Below are 14,007 nucleotides of genomic sequence, written 5' to 3' on the forward strand. Positions count from 1 at the left end.
AGGCAGGGTCTCACTCTGTCTCCTAGGCAGGGGTGCAGTGGTGCATTCACAGCTCACTGCAGCCTGGAACTCCTGAGCTCAGGCGATCCTCTCACCTCAGACTCCGGAGTAGCTGGGACTACAGGCAGACGCCACCATGCCCAGCTAATTTTTAAATTTTTTGTTAAGACAGGGCCTTGCTTTGTTCCCCACACTGGTCTCGAACTCCTGGCGATCCTCCTGCTTTGGCTTCCCAAAGTGCTTGGATTACAGGTGTGAGCCATTGCGCCCAGCCGCTTTATATATTTTTAGATTTTCTTTCTCTTTAGCCTTCTGTTTTTGTTAATAGCTATAGGACACTGAATCTATTATTATTTCTAAAATATTATTTAGCTTTGATTTGAAGGTTTTAAAGATTGACTTTATATTTGATAATTACCTAGGTGTAATAAGCATCACTATTTAGACTTCATTCAGTGTGTTCACATTTATTTAGGACACATAAGGAGTCCTTAGGACAAAGCTTTTCCATCTCCAAGTTAATTTTGAATTATTTTTTAATTGGGTAGATTATATCATCAAATAATTTTTTTAAGGAAGAAGTTATAGGTAGTATGTCTCTTGAATCTTTACGTATTTGAGAATTTTGTTGTTATCTTTACATGTTGGACAACAACTTCTCTGGGCCCCATGATTTTCCACTTAAAATTCGTCAGTTATTGCTCCCCAGTCCTGTGGCCTCAAATGTTGCTATGGAGTGGTCTGAAGCCAGCCTGGTATTTCCCTTCTTTGATTTGTTTCATCTGTCTAGGTGTTAGGAGAATTCTTTTTCTATCCTTGAAGTTTAGTAATTTCAGCAGGAAATATGCCTTGGACTAATTATGATATATTAATTAATTTAATCTGAAAATTCCACTCTTCTGTGATATCAGAAACTTTCTCTCTGCTACATCTGAATATTTTTTTCCTTGACTTTAGGAAGAGCAATTATCTGTATTTTGTAACTAGGTTGGCTACCTTCCATATCTACTAACTTCTTTGTAACTTCTTTTCAATTTTTCCCCTTTCCTCTTCATTCTGTGTGATTTTCTCATCTATCAACAAAATCACAAACTCAGTTTTCTGCAATTTTACTTGATGTTTCTAAATCATTTATTATTATTATTATATATTTTTTGAGACAGGGTCTCACTGTGTCACCTAGGTTGGGGTGCAGCGACAGGATTATGGCTCACTGCAGCCTCAACCTCCTGGGCTCAAGTGATCCTCCCACCTAAGCCTCCCGCGTAGCTGGGACTACAGGCATCCACCACCACACCAGGTTAATTTTTGTTTTAAGATTTTTCGTAGAGACCAGGTCCCACTATTTGCCCAGGCTGGCCTCAAACTCCTGGGCTCAAGCAATCCTCCCCCACTTAGGTCTCCTGAAGTGTTGGATTACAGGTGTGAGTCATCATGCCCAGCCTAAATCATTTATTATTTCTGCAATGAAATTATTTTCTCCTTTACCTCTGCCCGCTTCCTTTAGATTTCATTATTTTCTTGTCTTTTTATGTTTGATATCATCTTTCATAGAGCCTGTGTTCTCTTTAATTATATTAAAGTGTCAGCCATTTGTTTTATCAAATTTTCTACTGATTCTCATTCTCTTTTGAATGTGCCTCTTCTTTACATGTATTTAGCCTTCCTTCCTTCCTTCCTTCCTTCCTAAATAATAATCATTGCATAGGTCACATAACTTTTTTCTCTTTTTAACCCAGGAATGTTTTATATTCTGGCCTGTGATCTTCCCCTAAATTTCCTGGGTAGATTCTTTTCATTTTTCTTATTTACTTGGGCTTTATTAGGCTTTTCTCTTGTGAAATTAACTTGGGCATTGGGATGTATGTACTTTGGTGCTTTTTGTTCCTTCTTTTCCAACTGCCTCTAGGGAGTGATGAGAAGGCACAGGACCTAAATAGCTGAAGTGGGAAAACCTTCTCTCTCACCCTCTCTTACACACATACATTCTGAGGATTTTTGTTGACAATCTGGTATTACAGGTCAAGGCCTTTTTGCCACATTAGGGGAACATCCATTTCTGCTTTTAATCTGCACTTGCACTTTGCTCCCCACTACAGGGTGAACCAGGCTGTCACTTTTGAATGAAAGCCTTGTCTTTGGCATTTTTATAGTTTTTTGAAGCCAGATCTATCTATCTTCCTTCCTTTCTTCTTTCCTTCCTCTCTTCTTTCCTTCCTCCTTCCCTCCGTCCCTTCCTTTGGGTTTTCTTGCCACATATATAATTATGGTGACATTATCCTGCAGATCCTTCGTGGCCTCCACTCTTTTTTTTTTTTTTCTTTTTTTTTTTTTTTGAGACAGAGCTTTGCTCTTGTTGCCCAGGCTGGAGTACAATGGCGTGATCTTGGCCCACCGCAACCTCTGCCTGCTGGGTTCAAGCGATTCTCCTGCCTCAGCCTCCCGAGTAGCTGGGATTATAGCTGCTCACCACCATGCCCAGCTAAGTTTGTATTTTTAGTAGAGACGGGGTTTCTCCATGTTGGTCAGGCTGGTCTCCAACTCCCAACCTCAGGTGATCCACCCACCTTGGCCTCCCAAAGTGCTGGGATTACAGACATGAGCCACTGTGCCTGGCCTGGTGGCCTCCAGTCTCACTCTCTCCACACCTGCTGGCTCCCACAGAGGCCTCCACTGAATCATTGAGGCCAAGCAGTTTCATCCCTTGAAGGGGAAGATGTTCCTTTTCTCCTTGTTTCCTACTGTAGACTGAATGTTTGTGCCCTCCCCAAATTCATATGTTGAAACCTAATCTCCAGGGTGACGGCATTTGGAGACGGAGCCTTAAGGAAGTGATTAGGTCATGAGGGGGGAGCACTCATGAATGGGATTAATGCCCTTATGAAAGAGACACAGAGAGCTCCCTGTGCCTTTGGCCAAGTGGGGACACAGCAAAAAGACAGCTGTCTGTGAACCAAACAGCAGACCCTCATCAGACATCAAATCAGCAGGCTCCTGGATCTTGGACTTCCCACCTCCAGAACTGTGAGAAATACATTTCTGTTGTTTATAAGGCATCCAGTTTCTGGTATTTTGTTAGAGCAGCCTGAAAGGACTAGAACATTTCTCTGCATTAAGACTTCTTAGATGGCAAATCACCGTTTAGCACGTTTGTTGTTTCGCATTATAAGCATCCAGCTTTATTTTTAAAACTGTATGACCAGTGCTACTGTAGTGTGATTTGGGCACACTAGTACCCACTGTGCACTGTGTCTGGAATCAGCTTGACTCTCATGACCCAAGCCCTGGGGTTGAGAGTGGTCCTCGGCCCCCGCTAACTCCTCTCACCTGGTGAGCTTCCTCAGGTGCACCTCTGTTCTTGCAACGTGGCCTCAGTCGTAGCCACTTGGTTTATCAGATCTATCATACTACCTTTGAACCTCTGATGGGGAGAAAAAGGTAAGACCGAATCCTATTCTTTTCCTCCCATGGGCTACTCTAACTCCACATGTATTTAGAGTAATCAGATTTCTTTGGTAGCATCCAGGACCAAAATGTGTACAAAAATATTGGAGGATGAGTAATATCCTCTATGCTCAAGTTCCTTGCATGTTTCCTACTTATACCTGGCACATCCGAAGTTGCACATTCCATTAGAATGTGGGATTAAAATGACCTTTGGTCCTGTACCCTCCTAGCCCTGTGGGCTTGAGCAGCCAGTGGTAGTGCCCACAAAATGTGACTGTTACACAGCCAGCCCAGTGAGTGATATAACCCCTGAGCACCTTCTTCAAATAAGAGAGTGTTGGACCTACCAGTGCCCACATTTTACCTCCTTCTCTCCTTCCATGGGTTCATTCATGCAATAAAGCCAGACTCATTCATGTAATACAGAGAACATAAAATATTTGTTGAGCTCTACTCTACTACATTCCAGGCATTATTTGCAGTGATGGCAATATAATTGTGAACAAGAAATCAGTTCCTGCCCTCACAGAGCTTCCAGGTCAGAAGGTATTCTCAGCTGGAGAGATGGGCTCTGCCAAGCTAGACTTTACTTTCTTTTGGCTTGTATGTAAATTCAAAGGCAGTATCTCGCTCTACCAGTGGAATTTGACTGCATGATGTCTCACAGAAAGTTCTTCGCTCCCAGACACGGGTCCCTCAGCTTCCTGCCCCAGAAGTGCAGCAGTGGGCATTGTGGGAAGGTGAAGAGCCTCCCTAAGGATGACCCTTCCAAGCCAGTCTGCCTCACAGGCTTCCTGGGATACAAGGCTGGCATGACTCACATCGTGCAGGAAGTTGACAGGCCAGGATCCAAGGTGAATAAGAAGGAGGTGGTAGAGGCTGTGACCATTGTAGAGACACTGCCCATGATGGTTGTGGGCATTGTGGGCTATGTGGAAACCCCTCAAGGCCTCCGGACCTTCAAGACTGTCTTCGCTGAGCACATCAGTGATGAGTGCAAGAGGCGCTTCTATAAGAACTGGCATAAATCTAAGAAGAAGGCCTTTACCAAGTACCGCAAGAAATGGCAGGATGAGAATGGCAAGAAGCAGCTGGAGAAGGACTTCAGCAGCATGAAGAAGTACTGCCAAGTCATCCATGTCATTGCCCACACTCAGATGCACCGCTTCCTCTGCACCAGAAGAAGGCCCACCTGATGGAGATCCAGGTGAATGGAGACACCATGGCCAAGAAGCTGGACTGGGCCCGCGAGAGGTTTGAGCAGCAGTTACCTGTGAACCATGTGTTTGGGCAGGATGAGATGATTGACATCATCAGAATGACAAAGGGCAAAGGCTACAAAGGGGTCACCAGTCATTGGCACGCCAAGAAGCTGCCCCGCAAGACCCACCAAGGCCCACGCAAGGTGTCCTGTATTGGGGCATGGCATCTTGTCCATGTGGCCTTCTCTGTGGCACGCACTTGGCAGAAAGGCTACTGTCACCACACTGAGATCAATAAGAAGATCCATAAGATTGGCCAGGGCTACCTTATCAAGGATGACAAACTGATCAAGAACAATGCCTCCACTGACTATGACCTGTCTGACAAGAGCATCAACCCTCTGGGTGTCTTTGGCCACTATGGTGAAGTGACCAATGACTTTGTCATGCTGAAGGGCTGTGTGGTAGGAACCAAGAAGCGAGTGCTCACCCTCCCCGCAAGTCCTTGCTGGTGCAGACCAAACAGCGGGCTCTGCAGAAGACTGACCTTAAGTTCACTGACACCACCTCCAAGTTTGGCCATGGCCGCTTGCAGACCATGGAGGAGAAGAAAGCATCCATGGGACGACTCAAGAAAGACCAAATTGCAAAGGAAGAAAGAGCTTAATGCCAGGAACAGATTTTGCAGCTGGTAGGGTCTCAATAAAAGTTATTATCCACTGGAAAACAAAAATAAAAACAAAAACAACAAAAAAAGGCAGTATCTCCTCAAACAGCAGGGACCTGCATTGTTGCTGTGTGAGTTCATCTTTGTTTTGCAGGCATAAATCACCAACCCCTTTAAAAAACAAATTAAAATGTATTTTCTAAAGTTAACTTATGTAAGAGAAAGTTCCAGAAATGCTGCCTGGTCCTGCAGGGCAAGTGAAGCATTAGCCTGTCTCTCTGAAGCTTTGTTTCAAAACTCCACAGGTCCATTTGCAACCTGTATTTTGAATGTGATTAGTTACATAATAACCCTTTACTTTTTTCCACACTATGGCACCTTCCTTGGAAGAGCTTAAGGTGTTTTACAGCCATTATCTCATTAACCCTCACCGTGGGGAGTGTTGGGGGTGGCACAGCATATATTATTGTCTCTATTTTACAGAAGGGGACATTATGATGGCATAAGAAGTTAAGTGTCTTGAGCAATAGTACAAAGGAAGTCAAGTGGAACTAAGAACAGAAACAAGTTTCACAAACAGGCTTTTGCTGGCCTGGCATAAATCTATCTGCTTCCCTCTATCAGAAAGAACGCAGTAGGCTTGGTGATGGTACTGAAGATTTGATCTTCGGTTAAAAAGAATGGGTTAAATATATGTTGGGAGGAAAGAGCAGATGAGTTAAGTTGAATCATCCAGGCTGATAGAAAGCTGCTTAATAAATGTCTTCAAACAATACACGCATGTACTTCATGCCTACTCCAGGCTGCAATGCTGCTAAGTGCTGTAGGAGAAATCTAGGAAGGCTCTCATTGGTACCAAGTAGGTACTAGATACAAATTTGTTGAAGGAAAGAAGGAAGGAAGTTGGGATATCTTTCTCATCTTCAAGGAGCTTATAACTGGGGAGGGAGAAAAACTACAAACTATTACAAAGGTAAGTATGTGCTGAACTAGGGAGTATTCTCTGTTGATGCAACAGGAGCTCGAAGAAGGAAGAAACTACCGCTGCCTGGAGTGGTCATAGAAACCTTGCAAGGGATAGAACCTGAATTAGGGTTGGAGAAGTGGGGGATTCTGGAGAGGTGAAGAGGAGGACGGATACTATCTTTGGAAGTGCAAGGGCCTGACAAGGCTGGTGGAAGAGGCATACGTACGAAGGTGTGCAGCCACATGGCATGTTTTCTGAAAAAAGGAAGTGGATTTTGCAAGATTGGAAAGAGGGACTGTTTCTTTCAATAGGTATTGTGAAGTTTCTGCTATTCACCAGAAGACAAAGGGTAAAGAATCAAGGCAAACTCCTAGATTATGAAGTTGAATGAATGCCACTGTCAAGAAAGCAAGCTTGTATTTTGGAGTGTTTCTAATTTTTGAGTGTGTAACAACTTCGGTACATTACTGTCAGTACATTTATTTTGAAACTTTATTGATGCCTTCATTTTCTCAGTGTCTGTTTCTTCCTTAAAGGTGAGATTGAGCACAAAATTGTTTTCTGCTGTTACTGAATTGGTAGTCTTTTTTTTTGTATTGTTTTACTCCGTTTTATTTAGTGAAACATTTGTTATTATAATTATTATTTTTACTGTTATTCAATTCTAAATAAATGCATTATTGCATCCATTACCATCCTATCTCTGCTTCACATTTATCCCTTAATATGGCCAATATCTGGCAGAGATCTTTCCAGCAACTTTCTTCTTCTGACTTAGGTTGAACAATTAGACTTATATATTTTGAAAATAGCTATTATTGTATTTTGGCATTTTCAGCCTCTTCAGGAATCAAAACTCTTACTTAGTCTCTTTTTCTCTTCCACAAAACAGGGAAGATGAAAAGCTTCAGAGACCAAAATCTCCTTTATTCCCAGATAATGTCAGCCTAAAACTAGAGGGGGATTGTCAAAATAAGAAAAAAAATTAACTCAACATCATAGGAAATGCACATCAACCCAAATAGGAGATTTCAGGTTATTACCAGATGATTTCAATTATTGGGGGGTCTGAAGAAGGCAGAAGGGAGTCTAGCTCCAGAGTTGGAAGGCACTTTGGACTCCAATGATTCTCAACAGAGAGGCTAAGTTGGAGGTATTAACAGGTGCCGGTGCAGAAAAATAGGATCTGTAGATTTGAAGACCAGTCTCAGATATGATTTGGGGGTGGTGCACATGGGCAAGAAGCTTAGGTGTCTGTCTATATTTCAAGTATTCCAAGCATACAGCCATAGGGAGAAAAATATGTAGTAAAGAGATGGGCAGAATTTTTCTGAAGTTCATTCTCTCATTTATTACCTTTCCATCTAATGGACAGCCTTACTGAGAATGAGGTTCATATCAAATTCCTATTTCTCTTTTCTGTCTGTGAACGTTCCCAGTTTAATTCGAGTGTATGCATTATCAAACATCTGTTTTAATTACAGCTATTGTTAAGGTAGTTAATCAGTTGTCGTCTCTTGCCAACCAAAATCCTATATTGCTAAATTTCTGTACAATCAAAGATACAATAAATATAAAAGGAATTCTTGTATATCAGCGTGAAAAAAATGCATACAACTTCTTTGCTCACTGATGCAACCAAAACACCCAGGAGTTATTATAATGTGCATTCCCTTGACACAGACTTTTATTTCATGCAAATGACTGTGATTAAGATTCAAATACTTTTTTTTCATTTTCACACATTACTTAATCAATGTGAAGTACTGTGTAAAAATTGCATCTCTTCAAAACAGTGATTTTGACCAAGTCAAGTGTTGCTCCTAGAATTATAATCCAGACTTGTGATTCAATTATCATTTAGAGACTTTCTAAATTCAAATTAAGTTCATTCTTTCCTCCTCCTCCCAACACTGTAAACTTTATATCAGTATGGATCATTTGTAAGGTATGATCAGAATAACTTTCCATTGCAAGGAAATATACATTGTGATGTCTGATTTTTCCTTTACCTGCAAAAAGAGGCACAGCAATCAATAGGAACTAGCCATTAAAATGTATGAAAATGCAGAAGGTACCATCTATTTTTCCATTTATGTTAACTTAGCTTTTAGGCTGAATAAAATTGACACTCCCCAGAATACTTATCTATTTAAACCTACTTGGAACAGTTGCACAAACTCCATTTAAAGTTAAAAAGAACCCATGGAATACTTAAAGTTTGGCATCCTTGTTTGATAAATTAACTACAGGACATTCAAAAAGCACACTCTTATAGAATCAACAAGGAATGCATAAAATGAAGCAAGATTCCAGAGGCCAACTAAGCAACTCTCATACAACTATAAAACACTGATCTATTTACAGTTTACTGCACCCAAGCCAGAGGCTGAATCTTGTTTTGTTATTGTCTGTGACTACCTCTTTTTTGCTCATCTTGCATTTCATCTTTATTTGAGGAAAAATTAGATTTTGCCAATGACTAGGAATTAGGCTTCAGAACTGGCAGGTTTTGGGTTCTCATAATATCAACCTCACCCATTTATTAAAAATATGTACCATAGACTGAAGTTCTGTAGCCTCCAAGTTGAAAATAAAATCCAATTTTAAGTTGTTTTTCTTCTTTCAGCATTCACCGAAAATTCCTCCTTTTGTGTCCAATTGCAATAAGCAGAAAAAAACACTCATCTTTTATTCTCCATGGTTCCTAGAACACATCTTTATGCCATATTCCTAGAACATATCTCTATGCCAGAGCTGAATTTGTTGAATTTGAATTATTTTTTTTTGAGAGAAGTAAAATTTGCATTTGATGGAGTTTGATGAATTCAAACAGACAACGTTTGAATCTGAATATTCCTTTTCAGGAGTTTCTTCGACATGCTCATGGGATGTCCTGACTCTTCTACCATGAAAAGTTGAAGGGACATTCACAATTAGTCCATTTGAAGGGTCCCAACTAGTAAGTACCCTGGCCAGTTGGAACCAAAGGTCTAGTCCTGAATTTACTGGAAGACTAGGAAATATCTGTGAGATTGAAGTGGTTCTGCAGGGGGAAGAATTGTGAACTGCTATAGATTCACCTGAGAAGCCAAGATAGCATTCCATAGGAGTAAAGGTAACCAACCATGTTGGGTCTTTTGAAACTAGAACTGGGTCGTTTGAAGTCAGTCTAGGCTGCTTACAGAAGACCAAATGGACAATTCCTATTTATTCTGGTCCCATTCAGGAGGTTCTGAGGATGTTTTAGGATAAAGCTTTGGAGAAAACAAGTGAGATTGTGTCAGAGACTACTGGTTGGGCCTCAATGTCCAGTCTTCCTCATCCCATTGCGATAGATTTTTGCTGTGCACTTGGCTGCTCAGAATAAAGGCCTCATTTCCCAGGTGCCCTGTAGCTAACAGTGGACCCATGACTAACTTTTGGCCAATGGAATTTAAGCAGAGCAGAGGTCCAGAATTCCATACCCCAAATTCTTGGGGCCAGATATGGTTTGGAATTCAGGTTTCTTTTGATTTTGAAGGTGATATGATGCATATACGGCTTCTTATGGAATAACTCCATTGAAGTCTGGAGCAGCACCTCATAATTAACTGCAACAAATTATAACAGTATTCACCCTAAGTGGGATAAATGAAGACCATAAGGCCACTTGTAGTGGCTCACACATGTAATCCCAGTGCTTTGGGAGGCTGAGGCTGAAGAATCACTTGAGACCAGGCAACAAGACCAGCCTCAGCAACATAGCGAGATTCCATCTCTACAAAAAAAATTTATAATTAACCAGATATGGTGTATGTGTCTGTAGTCCTAGCTGCTCAAGAGGCTGAAGAAGGAGGATCATTTGAGCCCAGGAATTCGAAGTTACAGTGAGCTATGAGTGTGCCACTCCACTCCAGCCTAGGAGACAGAGCAAGATCCTATCTCTAAAACAAACAAACAAAAAAAGAAGACATACATAGTGTTACATAGTGTCATATTAATTCAGATTAGGTTTTGCCTTCAAATGAATTTTTGTTGAAAACTTGTGAAAATTTTTGTTTTCAGAGTTTTTTTTGGATTTTAGAATTATCTATCATTTGGCTGCTTCTAGAAAACTATAGAGACCACTGACAAATATCTTTTGCCCCTTCCATGTTGCTTCCTATATCCAGTCTCCTGGAATGTGATTTTCCTCAGATCATGAGGACTGTATTTATAAAGACAATATAAAACTATTCCTATTTGGTATTTTCCTCAAAGAGCTATTATTATATTTTAAAATGTGAATACTCTTATGTTATGTGGCATAATTTATTATTGAACACACATTATGTGCAACATACCTTGCTAAGTATCTCATTTAATGTGATTATTAATTCCATTTTATGGATGAGAAAACTGAGTTATAGGAAGTTTAAGTATCTTGGCTAAAGCCCACAATCAATGAGTGGCAAAGCCAGGATTTGAAACTAAGAAGTCTCTTGCCAGGGCCGCATGTTTGTCCACAGTACTATTTCTACCTTCTTTCCATGAGACCATAGTTACTATATAAAAATATGAAGACTCATTATAGAAATCTGGGTAGAGTTGCCTGTTTCCCTGTGGTTCTGGAATCGCATTTTTTAGATGCTTTGTTGGGACATGGTGCTTTTTCTCCTGCCCCATTTTAGTTGCACAAGTTTGACTCGCTATTAACCAGCTTTCTAACCATGCCAATGGACAACCCCAAAGGAAGAGAGTGAAGCTAGAATTCAGCTGTTCTCAATAATCACAGTAACGCTGAGAACCACAACTACATCGTTATATTAAAGCATCTTGTCACAGTGTCTTATAGCTATCACTATTTTATAGCCATACCTCCAGGCCAAATTAAATGTGAATATAAATTTTAAAGAACCAGTTAATCTGGCCTCTGGGCCATACTTGCTGGGTCACACCTGTGTGTCATTTGAGGTGTCACACACTCAGTGACTGGTGACATTTTACTGTTAGCACCCACCCACCCAAAGAAGTCACAATCTAATAGCAAAACAATCCCAGCTCAAATCTGAAATGAATTTAGAAGTTATGAATGTGTTCACAAATAACTGTGATTATATTATTAGCATTTCTGGCACCATTACCTAGAAAATATGAAAATGAAAATGTAACTAGTTAACAATAGGGAAGGGCAGTGCTGATGGAATTGGTTTTGAGTCCAGAGATGGATGTCAGACTAAGCCCTTTTCAGTTTCAGAGCTTTGGCCTCAACTCATTAGAGTAGTTGGATCTCAAAAATTACTATGGGAAATATAACAAAATATTAACAATTGCTAAATCTCGATGACGAGCAAGTGGATATTCATTATAGTATTCTCCCTACTTTTATGTAAGATTGACAATTTCATAACAAAAAGTTAGAAAACAAAAAGCAAGGGAAAATCCATTCAAATGATAACTTTTAAAATTAGCATGCTAAAATGCATTATTTCAATGAAATTCTTCAGGCATTTAGCCCTGTACTATTCAATACAGTAGCTGCTAGGCACATGTGGCTATTTAGATTTAAATAAAAATGAATCAAAATTAAATAAAATTAAAAACTCAGTCCCTCAGTTGCATGAGCCACATTTCAATTACTCAGTAGTTACTGGCTATATATATTTTTTAATGACTTAAAAAAATTGTGGTAAACTATGTGTAACATAAAATTCATCATTTTAACAATTTTTAAGTGTACAGCTTAGTGGCATTAAATATGTTCACATTGTTGTACAACCATCACCACCATCCAGCTCCAGAACTATAAATATATATATATATTCCATAAACTATTTTAAATATAAACTTTTAATCCATATTCTAATTTTAACTATTTTTTAATTGCGGTAAATAGATTACAAGCATATTTAGAACCTGCTAAATTTAGTGCCGTTGTCTGTTTCCAAATTTCCTAACAGTATCAGGTTACTACTTGCTTGTCATTATGTTGATTGCAAACTGATTAGGAAGTCACAGAAAACCAAGGCATGGGAAATGTAAAGGAGAAAAATTATAAATTGTGAAGCTTTATAAATTAACTATTTTTTTTTCCTGGCAATGGGGAAGCGGGAGGAACTCCATTCTTGAACTGCAGCAATGAAATTAACCTCATTGCACTTGTGGACCCCCAAGGCTCTTGAACATAATTTGAGTTAAACGTCTCTACTGAAGTACAGGCTGATTGAGTCAGCAAACATTCGTGGAGGGCCCACAGGTGCTGTGTCTGTGGTGGGACCATAATGGTGAACAAGACAGGCAAGACTCCTATTTTTATGGAGCTTCCTTTCTAGCTTGGGGAGACAGACAATAAACCAACCCACTCACAAGTAAACCAAAAGGTTTATGGACAATGGCGATAAATGCTGCAAAGAATGTAAGATGAGGTGATATAATAGAGATCACCATGAATTTATATACATGTATTTATTTATTTATTTAGACGGAGTCTCATTCTGTAGCCCAGGCTGGAGTGCAGTGGCGCGATCTCGGCTCACTGACAACTCCACCTCCCGGATTCAAGCAATTCTCCTGCCTCAGCCTCCCAAGTAGCTGGGATTACAGGCGCACACCACCACACCCGGTTTTGTATTTTTAGTAGAGACAGGGTTTCACCATGTTGGCCAGGCTGGTCTCAAACTCCTGACCTCAGATGATCCGCCCACCTTGGCCTCCCAGAATGCTGGGATTACAGGTGTGAGCCACCACACCCGGCTGAATTTATATCTTAATGTATTAGAAACTTTCGCTGCTTCTAAGTTGTAAGCCATCTTCAGAAGCAAGTTCTAAATTAGTTGTAAATCACCTAAAAACAATAAAAAACGAAACTTGCCACTACCTTTTGATATTCCTGCCTCCTGGCTGTGACTTACTAACTGGTTCTACTGAATTACTTACTCAATAAGCTTGCGTCCTACAAATTTGGTAAGTGTTCAAGTAACTCACACCTTATCTTGATGTTTAAGAGAAGCCACCTGTAGCTTTTGCAAAAGAAATTTATCCTGATTGGTGCTGTGTTGCAAATTGAACCCCAGGTTTTAAATGTATAAAGGAAAAAGTCTGGAAATAGGAAAGAAAAGCCACAGATATGTCAGACAGTTTTTGCATAATGTCTGTAATTGTCTCCTCAAGCCCCGTCAAGATTTGAAGCAATGCAGGCTAATATTTCCATAGACATTTTCTCCACTGCAAACAGACAGTGGGTGCTTCTCAAGTTTCACCTCTATTCTAGGGACAAACACTTGCAGAGTGAGGAGCTGTGTGAACCTAGGAAGAAGGTAATATGAGTCAGCACAACTTTCCTCCTCTCAAGAAATACGCAAAGCATTTCCCATATTCCCATGGAGTTTACTATCTTACGCATTCTATATACCTAAGTCTGTTTCAGTTCAGGAGAAAATAAATGCATGACAAGAGTATTTAGTTTTTATTGGGTAAAAGTTGAAATTAGTAGAGCAAGCAATGATATAATTGTCCACATAATGGGAAATAAACAAGTTGGTCAGTGTTCAAGAGAGAAGTGCAAACTTTGCTTCAGGTCTTGTTTTGACGGTAACACCTTAATCATTTTCTTTTTTTTTTTAATATATTTTTATTTTTTTATTTTTTTATTATTATACTTTAAGTTTTAGGGTACATGTGCACATTGTGCAGGTTAGTTACATATGTATACATGTGCCATGCTGGTGCGCTGCACCCACTAACTCGTCATCTAGCATTAGGTA

The 14,007-nt window shown here is 40.0% G+C and overlaps 1 long non-coding RNA gene and 1 pseudogene across 1 annotated transcript in view; one reads left to right on the forward strand and one right to left on the reverse strand.

Moving 5' to 3' along the window:
- LOC124903323 (uncharacterized) overlaps nucleotides 1-14,007 on the reverse strand; it is a 63,861-nt gene that overhangs the window by 20,482 nt on the left and 29,372 nt on the right. The window lies entirely within an intron of this gene.
- RPL3P3 (ribosomal protein L3 pseudogene 3) lies at nucleotides 4,078-5,371 on the forward strand (annotated as a pseudogene).

The sequence above is a fragment of the Homo sapiens genome, chromosome 14 (genome assembly GCF_000001405.40).
Source record: "Homo sapiens chromosome 14, GRCh38.p14 Primary Assembly".
In the NCBI taxonomy this organism is placed as follows: domain Eukaryota; kingdom Metazoa; phylum Chordata; class Mammalia; order Primates; family Hominidae; genus Homo; species Homo sapiens.